The sequence below is a fragment of the Homo sapiens genome, chromosome 15 (assembly GCF_000001405.40).
Source record: "Homo sapiens chromosome 15, GRCh38.p14 Primary Assembly".
Classification (NCBI taxonomy): Eukaryota; Metazoa; Chordata; class Mammalia; order Primates; family Hominidae; genus Homo; species Homo sapiens.
The window spans coordinates 97846623-97868786 of record NC_000015.10 but is presented as its reverse complement, the minus strand read 5'-3'; the positions used below and the strand labels follow the sequence as shown (position 1 = coordinate 97868786).

The window sequence follows — 22164 nt, the reverse complement described above, 5'->3', positions numbered from 1 at the left end:
ATTTAATATAATAATTATTTTTTGCAATTTAATGTAATAATTATTTTTTGATCACATTTAAAGTAAAATTGTCCACATCAGTTAACTATGTTATTTCTTTAGAAAAATAAATGAACACCCTAATCGTTTAATACAAGGAAAATGTACTGAATGACCCATATTTTCTTCAGGCCAGGTCTTCCTCAGTCAAGTGAAGCCAAGAAATGAGATGGTTATCTGGATAACTAGAACGAAGTCCTATTTTTACCCTCCATAATTGATGGGATTAAAGACAAAGCATTTTTAAAAAATATTTTTTGTGAATTACCCAAGTAAATTTTATCTGTTTTTAATATTCGTTTTGGGACCTGAAAGCACACGAAATTGCTCTGTTCTTTACGTATTTTTGTGCTCTCTAAGCTTTATCCAAATTAGTCTAAACCTTTGCTGGAGGCTGTCAGTCTTTTTTTCAGTCTCAGAAAAACTTCATTGAATGTTGGAGACAATGTGGCAGGAACTGTAAGCGGGATCTCTGTGAAGGTCAGGGTGGAGGTCTGGCTCTTCCATCTGGATCTGACCTGAACCTAACCTGGTCCAGGTGCTGCAGCACCTTTGTGACTTCCAGCATGTGTTTTGATTCAGTGTTCAGCCTGCAACAATGTCGGGAAAGAACAAAGAGCTGTTTGCTCCTCAGGCCCTGGTTAGTGACCAGGAAAGGGTGTGGTTTGTCAAGTGGGTGTGGACAGGGCACCAGCAGGCGGGAACAGGGTCAGCTGTGAAGGTGGATAGTTGCAGCCAGCTCTTCAGCATCGTTGACAGAACAAAGTCCTTGAGACGAGACTCCTTCTTCCCTCCTGGAAATGTTCTGCCAGTGCATTGAGTGTGGAGTGTGGTTCTCCTCTAACTTCTCAGGTTTGCCTCACATTTTTGTGCTGTGTCCTCCAGCCCCCCTCCACCATGGGCTTAGGTAGAGAGTTCCAGAACATCTTTAGCATCCGGCTCTGTTTTTAGGCAAGGTATTATGCATTTCCCTTCTCTCTCTTCCTTGAAAAGCATCATATGGTTTTCATCATAAAGTTGAAATGCACAATAACCATGTATCTTTTGTAAGTTCTGATTATCTCAAATACAGGAAGGTTTCCTATAGACTTGCATTCAAGGTCTAGTCCCTGCACCAGCAGCATGGGTGCCCCCGGAAACTCTTAGGATCTCTCAGGCCCCACACCTGAACTACTCACCAAAACATGCATTTTGACATGTTTCCCAAGGATCCTTTTAAGGCATGAGAGGGGCTGTTTCTAAGTACAGTACCTCTGATCCTGGAGGTGGCTGTGTGAACTTGCTGTGTTAAACTATTTAATGTCTACTGCCTCAGCTTCCTCATCGACAGTCTGGGGACAGGAAAGGCTGGATGAGGGGAGGAGTGCCCAGTGCCCTGCCTGGTATTTGGTGGGGAGCGGGGGTCATGGATACCTGGGATCTTTTCCTGCATGGTGGTTGCAGTGCCCGCTGGGAGTTGGAGTATAGCAATAGTCAGCCTGGATCACGTGGGGACATGGAACGGCAGCCGTGGAGAAACAGCTCAGGAAACACAGCCAGCCCTGACTTAGAGGGATCGGCAGGCTCTGCTGTGGTGCCAACCACCTGCCACGCTCAGCCCAGCCCCCATCATGGAGCGTGCTGCATCCAAGTGCCAATCAGCTGCAACAAACCCCAGTGGGGCCCCAACAACAGGTGTCTCATTAAACATCTCTCACCCTCCCAGGCTTACCCACTGACAGGCACCAAACTCACACTCAATCACCGCCTAATCACAGCCAAACTCCATTAACAAGTCATACTAATTACCAACTTCTAACAGTGTCTCTGGTTTGGAGGCAAAACACCTTATTCTTTTTAGATGAAAACTGGCTTGTGATCCTTCAGAAAGACCCATAATTAGGTCCTTTAAAAATGACGGTCAAGGGAGGAGTCCGGGGAAAAGTTGATAGACCCAGGGTGGCTACGGTCCTGAAAGTGCACAATGCGTAGCTCTGTTTGTTTTAATTTTGTGCCTGCTGGGTGGCCCCCAAGGGTCCAATTAGCTTGTTACAGATGCTTGTATTGGTTCCATCCTCTTGTCTCCTCCTTCCTTCCTTTTTTCCCCTTTTCTGTTTTTTTTTCTTTAATTTTTCCCTAGGAGGGATAAACTTGTAGCACAGATTGCAGGCCTGCAGGCATCCAAAGATCAACAACTAGTTTTCTATGATGGAACCCCCTGTGAACCATGAACACTCATTTGCAGAATTCCTAATGCATCGGATGAGGCAGGGCAGGGCTTGAGTGGCTATAACAGGGTCTGGTACCATTTTGAAATGGCCAGAAGGTAGACATTCTTCTCTGAATGGGTGCAACTTCGTAGACTGGCTTTTTTTTTTTTTTATTTCTTTGCCTTTTAAAAATTTTATTTTGGATCATAATAAAATTATTACTATTATTATTACTTGCATTGCCTCTTCTATCATAAGTCATTCCATTTTTTTATTTGAAAGGGATCTTGCTTTTAGAGCTTATACTGGGTACAGAATATCTTTTGCCAGGCAAATATAACAAATAAACTAAAAAAAGAAATCCTGATTAACTTGGATTTGCTCATGTACTCAGCCCCTGGAGGGTGTTTCTCTGATGTCCAGGTCAGGGCAGCCAGCACTAGCAATAGTGAGAGGGATTAAAGCGAGAAGCAACACTGCAATAAAATATGACATGGTTACCTTTCACCCCAATCTTCCATTGTCAAATGAGGGGTTATGTAGTCCAAATATCTGAATTAATCCCACCTTTAACTCAAGCATTTGAGATAGAATCAAATTATGTTTTGAAATATATAATTTCTGTATTCCCTAATGGACATACGAGAATAGTTTTAAGGGCTCTGATTTATATGAAGTTTATTTTTCTTTCTAAATTTCTTCTCTAAAAATCCTTGAAGTATCCAAGATTCCATCCAGCAAGTTTATCAGATTTAGTTTCTGAGATGGGAGACAGGATTTGCCAACATTCACTGATGATGAAGAACTGGAATTCTATGGGGATTATGGAGTATTTTGGATGCTGATGATATACAGATAACCATAGGAGGGCATAGAAAAAAGCATGGTCTTTAAAGGCAGATGAACTTGATCCACACTTGCCATACTAGCTTATCTAAGGGTTAGACTTCTTTCCAGAACACTGGGATAATATTTACCTCACAGTGCCTTGAAAATAAGAAGACATAATGAATATGAATGTTCTTAGCCAGTGCAGCTATGCAGTGGGTGCTCCATTATACTCCTTGTCAGTTCCTTCTTCTTTTCTGGAGCCAGAGCCCCTCCTTTAGAAGCTCCCAGAGCAGGACAAGCTTGGTAAGCAGCAGATTCTAAACCCTGGACTGAGCTGCAGTGGCATGAGTGTTGGGAGCCAGGAGTCTGGAGTCATGGCTCACCAGGTTTGGCTGCAACTCTTAGGGCCTCAGATGGAGTGGCGGAGAAGCAGGAAGCCTAACCTAGGGATGGAAAATCCAGATTGGTGAATTTCTACTGAAACCAGATGCTTTGAAGACCTTAGAGGCAGTTGTTAGCCTGTGATCCTGTAGGAGGGATCTGGCCACTCCTTTGGCCACCTCCCTGAAATGTTTTCTAATATGTACACTTGGGGGCTTCTTTCTGGGGAATGCATCGCTGAGTTGGTCACATAAGTCTATAGGAAAATAGAATTTCTCTAACAGAGAGTCACTCTAGAGCCATTTTTCAAAAATGAATTCTTTTTTCCTATTCCTTCATAGAACCTCATGAAAAGCAGTAAAGTTGGATGTATCTACATGTAACAAAATGTTCAAATGCTGGAGCTCTGACTGCTCAAAGTGCTTTTCTTTTCAAAGTATGAGCATATTCATGGTATTATTAATTCCAAGAAGCTGATTGGGACAATGGCATGATAGGACCTCCTCTCATCATTTACAGTATCAGAACTGCAATAATAAACATTGTACTAGAAGGAACTGGAAAAAATGTACATTCTATATGTCTCCATGTGCATATTGTAACTTTCCAGTTATATTTCAAAAACAACAAATTTATCTGGCAGTACTAAGTGTTAGGTAATATTAAATATATATTTATTTTTATATCCTGCCCTGATGGCTTTCTTTCAGTCTCCACAGACATTGGGCAGCTAATACAGAATTGTTCAAGTAAGTTTAATTCAGTATTTTATATATACATATATATATATATATATATATATAGTTTAATATAAGTCCAAATAAATGACATCATATGTTTAGCAAGTCACAATTTGTGATTTTTATGCAAACAGGTAACAAAGGCTCTCACCTACATACTTCTTGGTGTTAAGTAAGTGTTCTCATGCTCGTAACCTAGTTGCTGGGTTAAATTGCCATTTTATAGCAATTTTCGTTTAGATGCCTAACCCCCGTATAGAAATAGCAGATACAGTATACCTAGAGAAAAACTCACAGGGTTGGGTGCCAGTGACCTGGGTTGAAGACAATATTATGAACAATTTAATGAAAATATTTTTGACAACTTAGATTCTTAGTTGTCAACTTTTTTGAAAGTGACAAATTAACAATGACCACACAAGAATGGCTTTACATATACTAAAGAAATGTAATTTGTAGTTTAAAACATTCTCAGAAAAAAAAACTCAGATGGCTTTACTAGTAAATTTTACTAAGCATTTTTGAAAATAATTTTTTTATAAAAGTCTAAAAGAAAATTGAAAAAGAGGAAAGGAGGGAATATTTTTAAATGAAATTTTTTAGGCACAGATACCAAAATCAGATAAAGATACTACCAGAAAAGAAAACAGAATACTAGTGTATCTTATGGAAATGTATGGAAGAATTGTAAACAAAATGTTGTCAAGTTGAACCCAATAATACATAAGAATAATACACAAGACAAAGTGGGGTTTATTTCAGGAATGTAGGGTTGTTTTAACATTGGAAAATATCAATTGATGTCATTCATTGTATTAGTAAAATGAATTTAAAAACTGTATGATCATCTAATTAAATACAGATAAAGCATTTTGACAAAATTTCACCATCAATTCCTGGTGAAAACTCTCAACAAACTAGGAAAAGAAGGGAACTTCCTAAACCCAAGAAAGAGAATCTACTATAAACTTCCAACTAACAATCATACTGAAGATAAAAGACTGAGTCCTTTCCCCCTAAGTTCAAGAACAAGACAAAGATGTTAGCTCTCAACATTTTTATTCAACAATTTACTGGCAGCTCTTGCCACAGCAATAGGGCAAAAAAAAAAAAAAAGCATTTATATTAGAAAAGAAGAAATATAGCTTTATTCACATATATAATTTTCTATGTAAAACATCCAATGGAGTCTCCAAAAAAGCTGCTAAAAGTAGTAATTTTAGCAAGATTTCAGCAACAGGATTAATATGCAGAATATGGTTGCAATTCTATACACTAGCAACAAACAAAAGTAAATTGAAATTAAAAAGGATTTCTATTCATAATAATATGGAAAAATATAAAATATCTCGAAATGAATTATAGTCTTATGTATAATACCTAAACTATAACACTTATAAAAGAAAACAGGTAAAAATTTTAGCATTTTGAGTTAGACAAACATTTCTTTAGAAAAACACAAATGCATGATCCATAAAAGAAAAAAAATGATACATTGGACTTCATCAAAATTTAAAAATTTTGCTTTTCAAATGACATGGTTAAGAGGATGAAAAAAAGCAAGTCACAGGCTAGGAAAAATATTTGTAAAGAATATATCTGATAAAGGACTTGAATTCAGAATATCTAAAGAACTTTCAAAATTCAATATGAAAAAAACTCAATAAAAAAGTGGACCAAATATTTGAGTAGATATATGAATGGCAGGTAAAGAAGATATATGAATGGCAAGTAAACACATGAAAAGATGCTCAACATTATTAGTCCTTAGAAAATGCAAATTAAATATACAATATACAATGAGATAATATTACACAACAAATAGAATAGCTAAAATGAAATATGACGACACGAAGTGTTGGTGAGAATGTGGAGTAACTAGAACTTTCATGCAGGGCTGGTTACAATTTTCAATGGAAGCAGCCACTTTAGAAAACAGTTTGGTGGTTTTTTGTGAAGGGGGCAGGTAAGAGGGTTGAGAGGGAGGGTGAAGGGTTGGGTGGGGCAGGCTGAGGTAGAAAGGATGACAAAGGGAACAAGAAAATGATTAGACCTAACAGATCTCTTCATTTTCTTGATTATGGTAGTGTTTTCACATGCGTATACACATACCACAACCATCAAATTTTACACTTTAAAATGTGAAGTTTCTTGTACTTTAATTATACTTCAATAAAGCTTTCTTTTTTTAAAAAAAAAAGTTTCATTTCTTTGTTAGTCTGTGGGGCAAATCAAGCTTTTCTTTTATCTGTGTTGTAGCTCCTGAGAATCCCATGGTCCAGAGGATGTAGCCGGAAGGGAAGAGTTAGCCCTTCTGTAAAGCTTTTTTTTTCTTTCCTTTGTATAATCTATTGTCTTTAACATGCCAAAAATCCAACTTTATTAGTTGATAGAACCATTGTCCTTTTATGAGGCTTTTGTGCACTTTAATTCCAGCTCTCATGGCTAAGGCTGTTGGGTTGACAGAAATTAGCTGACAAACCATTCTCCCCAAACAACTGTGATTTCTGCTTTAACTGAGAAGCAGAGCATGTTAAGCACTTTTATTGGGTGGTGCCTGGTGAATGACAGATGTACTCTGTGTGATGGACTGCTGTGCACATCCTGTGTTAAAATGGGCCCATTTGTTGCAAAAACACATAATGAAAAGCTTGACTTGATAAAGATACATCCTGTGCACCAACTCCACATTGGAACTTGTTTAAATATGAATCAAGATTTCCAGTGAGACCACGGGCAGAGCTTCTCTGAATTGTTGCATTGACAGACCAAATGGGAGCTAAGTTAGCAGCTGGAGATTCAATGATTTTTGCACTTATGCAGAGTTTCAAGGTCCAAAACTGCTAGGAGAAGATGATTTCCTCTAATGCATTTAACTGTCAACTCATCAAGATTTGTTTTCTGACGTTTCAAAGTGCACTGTATTATTCTGTTTTAAGCTATTCCTGAACTCTTTTAATCTTTTTTCTTAATGCATATTTATTGCAATAGAGGTATTTTCTTATTTTATTCACAGTATGAAAATTTTAGAGAGGGATTTGACTTTGAAATGTGCATGAATACAGAATAAAATGAGAGGCTAGAAACTCCTAATTTGGCTCTACTTACTGAGATAATAAGGAGCAGAAGTGATTTCCAAACTTTGTGAGAACTTGGGCACTTTTACAACTATTAGTGGGATTTTTAACTAAAATGAGTTTAGCAAGCTGAATGCTGGATTTAGAATGAGTTAAACTATGTGCACAGTTGACCAGCAGCTTAGCAGATGAGCCTACCCCATCCCTTTGATGTATTAGTAACAATTCAACAATTCACTCTGACTACTAGGGAGAGCCAGTCCAGCAGTTTAATATCCCCCCATTAGTAGGAAATTCTTTTGGGTTCTTTCTCTAGTTTCTATTTGTAGTTCAATAGATGTTAATCATCCATATTAATAAATGTTAACAATAAACAGCATAACTACTCACCTGGTCATTCTACTCTTCATTCATTCAGCAAATAGTTTGGGAGCACCCTCTATGTGCCCTGCACTGTGCTAGATTCCAGGCCATAGGACATTTTCTCTCATTTATGAATGTATCTTGTAAAATAGTCTTGATCTATCTGGTAACAGATAATACAGCATCTATTTCAAGGCCAGCTGTGATGAGCACATTTTCTGAAGTTTATATGGGCTTTTCTATATTTTTACTGTGTTCAACTCCCTCCCAGTTTAGTTCCTCTCCTCATAGCAACCCTCATTATATGTCAAACGGAGCTTTCAGAAAAAGAGACAAGAGAAGTGAGTGGTGCAGAATTTTGTAGTTATCGTTTTGTGACTGTATCTTCTTTGTGTGAGTTCTTGGGGTCTTGGAATCTAAAATATCTTCCTTGAATCATGGCCAAAGTTACCTGATGTTTCCAAGGCCGGTAGACATTGGGTGCCAAGGTTACTATCAAAATTCAGATGTGTTCTGTCCAACATCCTGCATCAAGTTAAGTAACAGTTGGGTACCTAAATCCAACACCGAAGAAGGGGAAAAGCAAAGGGTGTTGTTTCTATATGACTATGACCTAAACACAATGGCGGGCTGTAGAGAGTCTTAAGGTAGAAAGGTGTTATGGAAAGCCCCCTGGTGCTCTAAATCTTCTCTCTTGTGATAGATAAGGTGTTACCCACCCAAAGCGTTCATGAAGGGCATAGAAGGAGCTTCCACTGGGTGCCTCGATAGTCCATTGCAGTTCCAAGCGGATCCTAATATAATTATTTTGTAGAGTGTAATAACTTATTTTCTGGTATCAGACTATTGCAGGCCTGATCACTGGCTTGACCCTTGAGCAAATTATTAATTTCTCAAGGACTCAGTTTCTTTTTCTTTAAAATTAGGCTAATAAGATTGCCCATTCTATAGAGTTGTTGTAAGCATTAATCTTCTGTTATCATTACTAATTTTCTATGATGTGCTGGAAACTTATTTAGAAACTGGAACTATTAATATAAAGATAAAGAGTTAGTTCCTGACCTCTGGGACACCAGAGATTAAGGGAGAGACAGACACTAACAAGATAATAGTACACATGGTGGGCATGGTAATAGAAATTTATGCTCAAGTGGGAATCTGAGGGCCAGGGAGGGCATCTCAGAGGAGGTGACCTCACATTGTGTATTAGAGATTAGGAAGCATTAGCCAGGGCAGCGTAGGTGGAGAAGGGGGATGGCGGTGCAGCATGAGTGGTTCAGGTCCCAGCAAAGGCGTGGCGTTGAGAAGCAGTGCATCAGGGCAGAGATGATGGGCAACTTGCTGCAGGAGCAAGAGGGGCAGGCTTTGTGGGTTAACCAATGTCCAAAAATTAATAGTGATAACAACAGAAGATTAACGCTTACAAGAACTCTATAAAGTAGGCAATCTTATTAGTCTAATCTTAAGAAGAAACTGAATATTTCCATAATAGGCTGAAACCTAATGGTATTTAGTGGAAGCTCCTTCTTTGCCCACCATATGTATTATTATCTTGTTAGTGCCTGGGAGTCTTTGCAGGCTGTGCCCAGGTTCTGGAACTTGATGCTACTAGATGGCAGGATGGAAGGATATCCAACAGGGAGGTGGCATGGTGACATCTACTTTTTAGATGGAATTCTCTTGTGGGGATAAGGTAGTGCTTGAGGGAGACAAGGTAGAGAAGCAGGAAGGTGAGCGCCAAGGTGGGCCTGTACTGGAATAGCCACAGTAACCATAGAAAGACGATGAAGGATTGGAGACAGATGCCAGACACTCTGGAACAAGGAGATTTCCAAAGTTCAGTGGAGAAGATGGCTGTTGATTGCTAATGTCTGCAGTATGTGTGTGCAAGTGACAGTAATATTTTCAAGTGTTAGATATTTGTCATTCATAAATCAGGAAGTGAAAAGTATGGGGATGATTGGATTGAGGGAGTGGGGTGAGAAAGAGGAGGGAACTGGGCATAATCCCTGCTTCTCCAGCTTTAGGAATTGGGAGGAGCAGAGAGGACAAGACTTGGAGGAGAGGAAGGGCTGTCATCCTGGTTTTCCTCCTTCCTTTGGCTCTGAGCAGGCCCCAGCCTCTTCAGCAGCTGCCAGCTGGAACTGGAACTGGATCTGGAAGTCCAGGTGCTTCTGGAACTGGAAACAATTGAGACAGACAATTGGGAAGATGGACTGCTGATTCATTGCTCTTGAACCCCTAGGCATATTCCATTTTTGTACATTGGTAATGAGTGAGCATGTCCTCTGAGGCTGGGATAGTGCCTTTTGCTAATGACAGCACAGGGACCCTGAGCAGCATCCGTGGTCATCTCCATCGGTCTCATGGAGCTCTCTGAATTCTTCCCACTGTTTCTGTTTTATTCTTCTTGACATCCCATGCTCTGCTTCTTGGATGGATAATATTCTGCCTAACATCCCATCAAAATGACTTTGAAGGGGGCTGTATTTCCATAACAGGCTGAAACCTAACGGTATTTAGTGGCTCAGCAGAAGGTGAAAGGTGCTGAATTTTAATCAAGGGATTTTTTTCTTTCATTTTCCACACAACCAGATGTAATCCTCCTCCTGCCTTCTGTTTTGTCAGAGACTCACAGTGCCAAGTGGTGATTAAATTAGTATGTGGCGTCACTTAGGTCTGAATGGAAATGTACAACATGGGGAGGAGTCCAGTGAGTGTTGGTTCCAAATGTCCTTCTCAGAATGGTTAAGCCAAGAGATCAACTGCTGTATGCAAAAGATGTAGAAGCAGGCTTGAAAATATTAGGCTGGGTAATTACTCTAGGCCTGGCTTTCAAAGGCAGGCAGCAGCAGCCTTATTAAATACAGGTGACACAACTCCCGAGCTTTCCTCGAGAGGTTTAATCACAATGCTAGGTGCCAAAACACCCTCTGCTTAGATTCCACAAGCATTTCTTGTAAGTCACATCATTATCTACTGCAGAAAAGGGGAGTCCCCACCTTTCGAGCACCAAAATATACTACTACCTCTCCTATCTTGAAACAACACCCAAATCAAATTTTTTCTTGCCTAGCTGTTACCATTTTTTCTGCCCCTACTTAGAGCAACATTTCTCAAAAGAGTTGTCTATAATACATGTTTTCTCTCCAATTCCTTGCCTCCTGTCTTCTGTGTAGTGACTGCAGCCATGCTGCTGCCCCACACTCCACTGAAATGACTCGTATCCAGGTTATCTCCTGTTGCTACATCCCTTGGTCACTTCTCATTCCTCATCTCAGTTGGCCCTGAGCAGCGCTCGATTAATTCTCCTCACCTGCATTTCAAGACACCCCACACTTTCTTGGTTTTTCTTCCATCTCAGGAGTTGCTCTTCATCACTCTCCTTTGTTGGTTCTTCTTCTCTCTAAACTCTTGATTTTGCAGTGTGAAGCTCAGTCCTTGGTCCTCTTTTCTATCTAAATTCACTCTACTTGTGATCCCAATTCTAGGTTATGGCCTTAAAGGCTATCTGCATGCAAATGGTGGGAAAATGATATCTCCAGCCTAGACCACTTTCCTGAATTCCAGATTTTGTATTACATTGGCACCATGGACCACTCACATCTGTCTTCAAAGAAGCACTTGGCCTTCAGCTGCTAGGAGTACAGCTAGCTACTGGTTTCCAGCTATAGTTCCTTTGGGGTCTGCTGCATTGTTTGAGTCGAAGCTATACTCTCCCCAGCCAGTCCCCAGTCAGTGACTGAAGGTGTCAGGGTTACTTCGGACTGGACATTTCTGCCCAATGTGGGGATTCTGTAACTGGCTACCTTAACTCCAGAACATATGATCGTGTTGGGCAAGACTTGTCAGATCTGTATGACAGTCTATACATCTTCCTGACAAATCTTGCTTCATCCTGTTATTTCAGTTACTTAAGGGTAATTTCACTGCAGGTCAGTCTTGGTGTGGTTGCGTACTAGGAACTACGTTATTTAGGGTTTTGTGTTCAGCCTTAGAACCAGGCTTCTCCATATCTCTCCTGGATGTTGGTCTTGTTCCTTCTGCTTATGTCCTTTGCCTGCATATTATCTGCAAGAAGTAAGTTGGCTCCTATTTTTTTCAAATGAAGCTCTCTTCTCTTTCTACTACCTACCATGTGCATGCACACACACACACACACACACACACACACACACACTCACTCACTCACTCCCAGGACCTCCTCTGAGGGCAGCACCCAGATGGTTGCTGACGGATTTCCTGCCTGCCTGCTGTGTGAGGCCTGCCAGCTTAGTCTCTATAAAATGACCTATTTCTCAACTAGAAGTGGACCCCATGCTAATTGCTTGCCTGGAGTGTGACTTATTTCTGGAAATTTCCATTATTGTGTTGAGTCTCTGGCTGGACATTCCCTTCATTACCGGTTTCTAGAGTTCATCCTCCAACCTCTATTCATGTTACCTACAAAGCAGATTGTTTGTTTGTTTGTTTGTTTTAATTCAATCTACCTTTCTACTTTGTCATGCTACAATGAACTCTTTCTCACCAGGCAACCATGTCATAAAGTAAGCCATATATTGGAGAAACCTAGATGTAAACTTTAGAAATTCATTCTCAAATTAGTGCAGATCCAATGACTAGTTAGAGACAGCTGTCCTCATGTTACAGTATCACCAGGGTGACTTGGTTCTGGCTCTGGAGCCCACAACCAATTGATCAACACAAATGTCTCTAGATACATCTACACGTCCTTCTTTATATGAATCTGTAGTGAACACCATAAGGAATTCTAGAGTGAACACCCCTTTAATTAGGGCTTCCTGTGAAATTCCCTGTGTGCTGCATCAGTGGAAGCTACATCTATTTCAGGACCATAGTCATTTGGTGGGATGCTCCTTTCACAGAATGCTTTTGGTGAAGCATGCAGAGAGGAGGACGCCTGTTGTCTGTATTTCAGGAAAATGGATGATGAAGAAGAAAGATGCTATTTATGCCAAGCCTTCAAAAATCTCACAAACTGCTCTGAAATGAGAATTTTGCATTTGCGCTAATTTACACCAAAATATTCCCTTAGTGAAGAAGACAAGCTAGACTGCTGACATTAGTCAGGGTTCTGTAGATATCTATATATTTATATTATAAAGAATTGGCCCACATGATTATGGAGGCTGAGAAGTCCTAAGACCTTTAGTCTGAAAGTTTGAGAACCAGGAGAGCCAATGGTGTAAGTTCTAGCCCAGGTTTGACGGCAAGAGAAGACGAAGGTCCCAACTAGAGACCAGAAGCATATGACAGCAAGAGTGAGTTCTCTCTAGCTTAGTTGTTTGTTCTACTCAATCCTTTAATTGATTGGCTAAAGCCTACTCACAGTGGGAAGAGCAATCTGCTTTACTGGATCCATCTATTGGAATGTTAATCTCATTTAGAAACAACCTGACAGACACATCCAGGATAATATTTAATCAGATATCTGGGACCCTAAGGCCTATTCAAGTTGACACATAGAATTAACTATCACAAGTCTACCTCTTGTCAACGTCACCCATATGCATCTTCCTGAGTCATATTTAATTTCCAAATAAAGATAATAAGGTCATAATTCTACCTAACATGATATAACTATTTTGTGTACAACTGGAAATGAATTAATCCCTTCCCCAGAAGGGAAAGTAAAGTCCTCAAGTGATGTTTATGCTCTTCCTTTGTATTCGAGAACTTAAATATAATATTAATAATACTTAAATACTATGATATAAAGTCAATACATCTTATGTTACATCATAAAGGATAAGATAGGGAAGAAAACAAAGCTATTTGATGTGTGTGTGTGTGTGTGATACATACACACATTCATGTTAATTACAAAATAAGGGGGAATATTCGTGACAATTACAGCCACTATTTCCATAACTTGTCATGAGGTTGTAGTTGGTACTTGTAACTCCCTTCTTCCACTACCCATTATGTATTCCTTTTGCCTTCAGCAAATACCTCAGCAGGCCTGGATCCTTACCTGATGGACTGACATAAGCCTTCATTCCTGAAGGGTCTGGGCCATTCATAGTTCTACCTGGATTGGGATGGATGTTGTAAATTTTCATTGACCTCAATTACAGGACATACTTAGGAGTACTAAGAGACACCTGAGGAACCTCCTATATTTCAGATATACTCTTCCTTACTCCCATTGTGAAGTAGCAGTATAATTTCCCCTTGGTAGTCAGGATCAATCACCCCAGCCAGCACAGTACCTCCCTTCTTTGTTGATTCAGAAGCATGACGATTTCAATGTGGCTGGGTGGCAGTCTTAACTTCCAGTTTGATGGAATCATTGTTGGGTCTCCTGGCAGAAGTATTTCTCCTTTTGGAACTAAGACCTTCAGGCAAGCAGAGCATAAGGTCACAGGAACAGGAGGTAAAAACTTGTATAGTTATTACTGGGTATAATAGTGAGTGGTGCCACTTCTATTTTTACTTCTTGATTCCTAGACTCATGAAGCCTGGCTATGGGAGAAAGAGCACCATATATCAGATCCTGATTCAGAGCATATACAGCCTGCTGGAGAATGTTGCCTCAGCTTAGCAAAGTAGGGCTACTTAGCTGGTGCTATAGTTGAGTCTTCAAATGGCCCCTCCGTCATTACTTTAGGGCAAGTGCTTCAAGATGGTGAGGAACATGATAAAACCAATGAAGTCCATGAACATAAGCCCATCGCCACACTTCTTTGCTATGAAGTGAGTATCTTGGTCAAAAGCAGTGCTGCGTGGAATACTATGATGGTGGATAAGACATTCTGTAAATCCACAGATGGTAGTTTTGGCAGAAGCATTATACGCAGGGAAGGCAAATTTATATCTAGAGTGTCCATTCCTGTAAGAACAAATCATTGTCCTACTATGATGATAGTAATTGGTATTTAGAAGTGAGGTGCCATAACAAATATAAAATAAAGTAAAAGCATTTTTAGAACTGGCTGATGGTTAGAGACTGGAAGAGTTTTCAGGTGCATGCTAGGAAGAGCCAGAATTGCCATGAAAGGGGGACTGTTAAAGGTGATTCTAGGGAGGGCTCAGAAAGAATAGAAGAGTGCTAGAGAGAAAGCTTTCATTTTCTTAGGGAATACATAAATAATCATGAACAGGATGTTGCTGGAAATACGCACAGTAAAGACCATTCTGTTGAGGTCTCAGGTGGAAAAGAAAACTCTGTTATTGAAAACTGGAGGAAAAGCAGTGCGTGTTATAAAGTGGCAAAGAGCTTGGCTGAATTGTGTTCTAGTGTGTTGTGGAAGGCAGAACTTGTGAGCAATAAAATTGAAAATTTAGCTGAGGAGATTTCCAAGCAAAGCATGGAAGAAGCATTTTGATTCCTCCTGACTGCTTATAGTAAAATGTGAGGGGGAGAGAGAAATTGAAGATGGAATTTTTAAGCAAAAAGGAACTAGAACTTGGAAATGGCAAAAATTCTCAGCCTACCCAAATTACAGAAAATGACAATGCTTGCTTTGAAGAGAACAGTAAGGGTGTGGCTGCACAACCATTTGATAAAGAGATCATAGGTGCAGCTTATGAACTTAATCAGCCATTTCAGCAGAGGCCAGGAGTAGAGATGGGATTATAGTAGCAAAGGCAGTGCAATTCAAACTAATGGAGACAGAGAATACAGGACAAAATGAAGGAAAAGTGTTGGACTTCTTGGCTTCTATAAGATGGAAGAATAGAGCTATTTGGCTGCAAACATATGCTGTTCTTCATTAAAAGGGAAGAAGGATCCCTTTTAGTTCAGGCAATTCAGAGATCATCAGGACAGCCAGTCCCACCACAGGCCCACCGTGCACAGGCCTTGCAGAAAAGATCAAGTAAACCTCAGTTTCAAAGTGTGGGAGCACTGTCCCTGCAGAGAGCTGTGGCATGGATGGTAGGCCACCAAGCCCTGGGGGTGACATTGGCATCCAAGTAGATCTGGAGAGCAGAACACTGAGCCAGAGAGGATTTTTCTCTAGCCTTGGCTCTCATAGAATTTACCTTGCTTGGATTTGGACTTCCTTGGGATCTGTCACCTCATCTTTCATTCCTAACTTTTAGAATGAGAATATCTATCCTATGCCTGTCCTCCGACGTATATTTTGGCTTTTACAGGTTCACAGTTGGAGAAAAATTTTGCCTTAAGATGGATTGTATCTCTTATAAGTATGTGATTTAGATGATATTTAGATGAGACTTTGGACTTTTGACTTTAGAGTTGATACTAGAAAGAGTGAAGATTTTTGGGGCTGTTGGGGTGGAATGGTTATATTTTGCATGCTAACTGTGCATGGCTTTTGGGGGCTCCAGGGCAGAGTTATGGAAGAAATATTTGTATACCCTCAAAATTTATATTTGAAGCCTTAGTCCTTTATGGGATGGTATTAGAGACAGGGCCTTTGAAGGTAATTAGGTTTAGTTGAGGTCTTGAGGGTGGAGTCCTCATGGTGCCCTTAGTGCCCTTACAGGAAGAGATTGGGGAGCTAGCTCTCTCTGTGTTTGCCATGTAAGGCACAGCAAGAAGGCAGCCATCTATCCACAAGGCAGCCAGAGAGCCCTGAACAAAACCCAACCATGCTGTCACCTGGTCTCAGGCCTTCCAGCCTCTAAAACTGTGATAAATATCTGTTGTTTTATGGCATTTTGTTACAGCAACCAGAGCAGACTAATACAGGTTGTTTCCCCTTTTGACTATTATGAATAATGCTGCTATGAACATTTGTGTGGAAGTGTTTATAGGGACATATGTTTTCATTTCTCTTGGAATGTAGAAGTAGAATTACTGGGCCTTCTTATGAAAGTTTTATGTTTAACTTTTGAGACACTGCCAAACTGTCTTATCATGTAATTGTACCGTTTTACAATTCTATCAGCAATGTACAAGAAATTCCCATTTCTCCACATCCTCACCAACATATCATTACCTACTTTATTCATTATAGCCATCTTAGTGCTTGTGAAGTGCTGGCTTATTGTGGTTTTAATTCGTGTTTCCCTAATGACTAATCATGTTGAGCATCTTTTCATGTGCTTATTAGACATTCATACATCTTTGGAGAAATGTCTGTTCATGTTTTTTGCCCACTTTTGGATTGGCTATTTGTCTTCTTCTTATTAAGTTGTAGATTTCTTTGTAAATTCTGGATGCAAGTCCCTCACCAAGTTTGTGTTTGCAAATATTTCTGAATTGTTTGATGAGAATTTTGAGGAGACTACTGAATGTGGGCCCTAGGACATAGGGTATTTCATGCATGGTGCCCAAAGTCCTCTTCTCACAGACAGCATTTCTTCTAGTAATTTCTGGTTATGTGAAAAATCAAACTGTTTATATTGTCAGATGGATCCACCAAATGTCTCTTGGATGCCAGAAAACTGCTGATATACTTCCCTGTTAGTTTTGGATGTTAGGGGAGGAGGGATATGGCTTGTTTTACCCATTGGTAACCAACTCTCAAAGAAAACTTCAGCTGGTTACAGAAATTTTTGATAATACAGAGAACAAATGATTTTGTATATCCATTCAATTTATTACTTATTGGCAATGTATTGAAATCTGAAGAGTGCAGCCTCTAGGGGTGTACAAAGCACAGGTACATGGCTTACCTGGCATGTGCTTCCTTCTGCACAGGCCTTCCTAATTTTTCAGATCATGCATTTAGAATTTACAACTTTCTTCACTGGCTGTGACCTGATTTGAAAACACTTGTTCTTTTATGCAAATAATATTTTTCTATGTGTGAAAAATGAGAATAGAATCAACTGTGTGAAATAAAAGAAAATCCAAACTGGCTTTTAAAATGTGAATTAATATCAGGGTTGACATGATGTTTGGAACTTTCCTTGTAGTAACATAATCCTCATTTCCTTTCATTAGTGAGCCACTACCCAGGGAATCACAGGAAGTTTCCCACAATGTTCTCCTCTTTCTCAATTAATGTTAGGTTGTCATCCAAATTAACCTAAAATGAATAGCATCCTAAATATAATTAGCATTCTAATATGAACAGCATCCTAATATGAACAGTGTCTTAAATTCCTACCTGAATTACAAGCTCGATGCATCACTTTCCCATTTTGCTAAATCTACTTTCCTACTGGCTTTAATCATCTCTTTTTTCAGATGGCTCATTTTACAGAAAAGTATGTACGGTGCTAAAATCTCAGAGAAAACTTATAGAATCCAGTGAGATGATCCATGCAAGAGTCCTAGCTCTTAAGGGAAAACTCAGGCATTAAAAAAAATCAGGCATCTTTGTAATAGAATGATTTATATTCCTTTGGGTATATACCCAGTAATGGGATTACTGGGTCAAATGGTATTTCTGGTTCTAAATCATTAAGGACTCTATTATAAAGATACATTCACATATATGTTCATTGCAGCACTGTTCACAATAGCAAAGACGTGGAACCAACCCAAATGTCCATCAATGATAGACGGGCATTTGGATAAAGAAAATCTGGCACATATACACCATGGAATACTATGCAGTCATAAAAAGGAATAAGATAACGTCTTTTGCAGGCACATGGATGAAGCTGGAAGCCATCATCCTCAACAAACTAACACAGGAACAGAAAACCAAACACTGCATGTTCTCACTCAAAAGTGGGAGCTGAACAATGAGAACACACAGACACAGGGAGGGGAACAACACAAACTGGGGCCTGTAGCGGGGATGCGGGGAGGGAGAGCATCAGGACAAATAGCTAATGCATGCTGGGCTTAACACCTAGGTGACGGGTTGATAGGTGCAGCAAATTGCCATGATACACGTTTACTTATGTAACGAACCTGCACGTTCTGCACATGTATCCCGGAACTTAAAGTAAAATGAAATTTAAAAAAATCAGGCCCGTAAAGTTCTATTCAACAGATAAAATTTCTTTAGTCTTATATGAGATTTATAAATCCTTACTTCTTTTCTCACCTGTAAATTTTAAACATGCACTGGAGTGGGGAGGTAGGCACGTGCCCCAGCAATATGCCCATGTGAAATTCCCACATTTCAGAGAGGAGAAGAAACTTACAATCATTACAATTGCAATCATATGGTGAAATGCATATAAAAACAACTAAATATGTTGTGACACATAGTTCCTATTATTGCTTGTGTTGCTCTGAGACAATGTAAGAGTTGCATTTTTCACAAACATAGAAAATAAAAACCAAGACACTGTGAGCATTTCTTCATGAAGACTTCTCTATTCCTGCTCAAGTCACCTCCATATATCACCACCTCTTTGCATGGCTCTCCTCATTCAACTTTTTTTGAAGTATTGATCTACAACAAGTACACTCAGGATTCCTTCGAAACAGAATTCTCATGAAAATCAAATTGAAATGAAGCAGACAAAAAGGTAGAGATCGTTCATATTTCTGCCCTGAATTCTTTTAGGTCTGTGGCATTAGCCCAATATTTAGTTTCTTTTCTTAAAACGTAATTTCTTCTAGATATTGATTTGCACCAACAATACCCATATGAAGAATATTGGGGTCACTAATCACTCAGTGTTAGATCCAGGAATACCGAATCACAGAAAGCATACCATTTGACCTTACCCTAAGTTAAATGTGGGTTATTGAAAACCTGTTTAATACATTTTAGTAAACGAAATCATTTTAAATACACGGAGAGGTCTGCACTTTTAGCAACAGGCTATGGTGGACTGTAGGAAGTGATCAAGCGGAGTGTTTCAGTGTCAGTAACTGCCTCCTGATTGGTTTGTTCTAAGAGTATGGAGCATAGTGTGCGTCTCTTGGATTTGTAGCATGGCTGCTCCTGTCTGTGCCACAAGGGGCGCTTCTTAGGCCCACAGTGGAATTGTGTATGAGGGGGGATGAATTCATGAGGAAACAGGCTTTAAGTTTTCACAACTTGGCATCATCTGCTGGTCCCTTTTCTCTCCATCTAATTACTAACAAGGGGCTGGACCCAATAGGGGATCCAAGAGAAAGTATCGCCCACTTCCTGAAAGCTTCTCCAGGCTGAGCCCTTGCTAGAGATGAACAAAGCCAAAAGCAGGGTCTGATAAACGTGTCAAAGCAGGGACAAGTTTTGACTTTATGAAAATAACGTATTTCCATGTACCACACCCAGTAGAAGAGAAGGTCTCATATTCTTGGGCTTTTGGGGTGCCATATATCTATGTCTGTCTTCATCTACATTTTCATTTGTGTCTAAATATCTATATGCATAATCATCTATGTATCTATCTGTTCCCTCTTATCTGACATCTGTTTCCTCAATCTCTCCACTCTTTCCCTCAGAGCCACCCTATAGCCCATTGCCTAGTGTGTCTACTTCCCTCTGTCAGATACCTCTTCTGCTTCTCCTAAGAGGAAGGAATCCTAAATCCTTGGCCCCTTAATATGCTTAAATTCCCTGGCAGTTGAGAATTTAGCCTCAGGCTAATAAAGACCTTTCTTTACACGCACTTTTGGGGTACCCAATAGGGAAGGAGTAGGTTTAAGAAAATGGTGGTGCTCTGATGCCAGTTCTATTTATTTATGAAAGAGGTCTGTAGCTGACCTACCTAAGATCTTGCTTGCCACTGTCAGATTTATTTTCTTCCTAGGCAAACAGAGTCTGGTCCCTTACAAGGAATAATGTGACTTGATTACTAGAATTTTGCATCAACTTGTTATAAAACAACTTTTTGGAAAGCAGTTTCTAAGCATTTGACTTCTTCTCAGTTTACTTATGCTTCAAGAGACCTTCGTGTTGTGGAAAATATCTCTTACCTATCCAGAATGAATGAATTACCACAAAAAGTCCACACACTTGGGTTATGTGGGTGTAGGATAATTCTCAGTTTATCCTTCCGCATATGTAATGCCATGACCAACTTCAACTGCTTGGAGTGTAAGAGCTTACTGTGTTGCTAAGTTTTCAGATTAGCTCCTTATGAATCACCAAGTGCAGATGAGCAGGAACTTGAGCCTCTCCAGGGATAAAGCCTTCTGCCTCCATTTATCTGAGAATCCAGGGAGCCTGCTCAGTCTATAGGGACCAGTCCTATTCCTGATCCTTTACCTAGAGATAAGTGCAGAATCTAGTCAGTTTGCTACCAGGGTCTTGTTGTCCTGGGTCCTGATTACCATTGCTTTGCAACCATGAGGAAGGCATTGGTGATGCAGATGGCTGCAGAAAATACAAGGGTTCTTTGCAGGCAGAAGGCCCCCTCGCCTTAGTATCCTATTTGGCCAGAGGTGTGCATCTTGGGCTCCTTTGGTTACACCGTCTTTAGGTGATACTTATGTGCTTAGCCAACCCCGTGGAGAATATTGGTGAACCATCTACCCCTCATGTCCTTACTCATCACTGGGCTCCAGCATTCTCTTTTCTATCCCTTGAACCCACAAGGCTTAATAACTTCTAAGAATATTTGCACAAACTACTTCTCTGCCTGAAAATATTTGCCCCTGATATTTGCAGGGCTCATTGTCCTTGAGATCCCTAATGTCAGGCCTGGCATCACTCTATATTAATTCTCTGCACAGCATTCATCACCATTCGATATGTGTGTTTGTTTGTTGCTTACTGTTTACCTCTCCCTATAGAAGGTAAGCTCTTTGGGAGTCTGGACTTCATCTGCCTTTTATACTTTTGTATTTTCAGTTCATAGAAGAGTGCCTGTGTAGGGTAGGTAAATATTTGTTGAATAAATTAATACTTGAATGATTTTTCTTGTTATTTATGACTTCTTACCTTTGTCTTGCTTAAAAACTACACTGTCAACGTTTTGAGGACAATGATTTTCCTTACAGTTTTCTGAAAAGTTTAGTCATTTTTGAAAAAAAAAACAGTGGGAATGAAGAGAGGAGACAATCATTTATAGGACATTTACAGAATTTTATTTACAGGAAAGCTACTTTTGACAATTTCTCTAAGTAAAATTTATTTCCTCCATCTCTCTGTTCTCTCTCTCGCTTGCTATTTTTTGTCCTCTTTCTTTACCTTCCTTTCTTTTAGCTTGGCCTTTATTTGTACATTGTTTATAGATGAAGGCAAGCAGTTCACAGGGAGGAGCACATGGAAAGGGAAGGCATCCTGATCCATGGTTCTTTGCCTGTTCATTCTAAACCGACCTTGACAAATTAATAAAGAAATACTTACGGCCTTGTCATTTTACTCTAAATTATGTTTTATATTAATCAAGTATATCCAGTTAACAAAAACAAATATGTCTATAAATCTTCTAATAGAAATGCCTATTCTATTTAATTTCATATTTCTGAATAAAATAGTTTTATATATTAAGTTTTCAATTTTATAGAACACTTATTAATATTCTGCTCTGAAGGAGTAGTTCTTTTAGATAGTTATTTTTCACTTTCTGTCTCTCCCCAACTTACAGTTAACTCCTCTATCCTCCTAATACTGCTAAATCAATATTAAGTGTTTATATTACTCTGCCTATGAAATACTGTTCACAGACAAGTTACCTATAGTTCTGTAATTACAAATAGTCTCTTGTGCAGCTTTTTACTTTCTTGTGAGTTAAAAATTACATTATTTTTCATTTGCTTAATTT

At 39.5% G+C, this 22164-nt stretch overlaps 1 long non-coding RNA gene across 2 annotated transcripts in view, besides 1 other annotated feature; it reads left to right on the top strand.

Moving 5' to 3' along the window:
• LINC00923 (long intergenic non-protein coding RNA 923) overlaps positions 1 to 22164 on the top strand; it is a 131814-nt gene that overhangs the window by 5643 nt on the left and 104007 nt on the right. The window lies entirely within an intron of this gene.
• Positions 642 to 842: a silencer, noted in NCBI's record as "peak2442 fragment used in MPRA reporter construct". NCBI's record gives its function as "represses an SCP1 promoter by STARR-seq MPRAs in K562 erythroleukemia cells {active_cell/tissue: K562}" and the evidence as "EXISTENCE:reporter gene assay evidence [ECO:0000049][PMID:32103011]".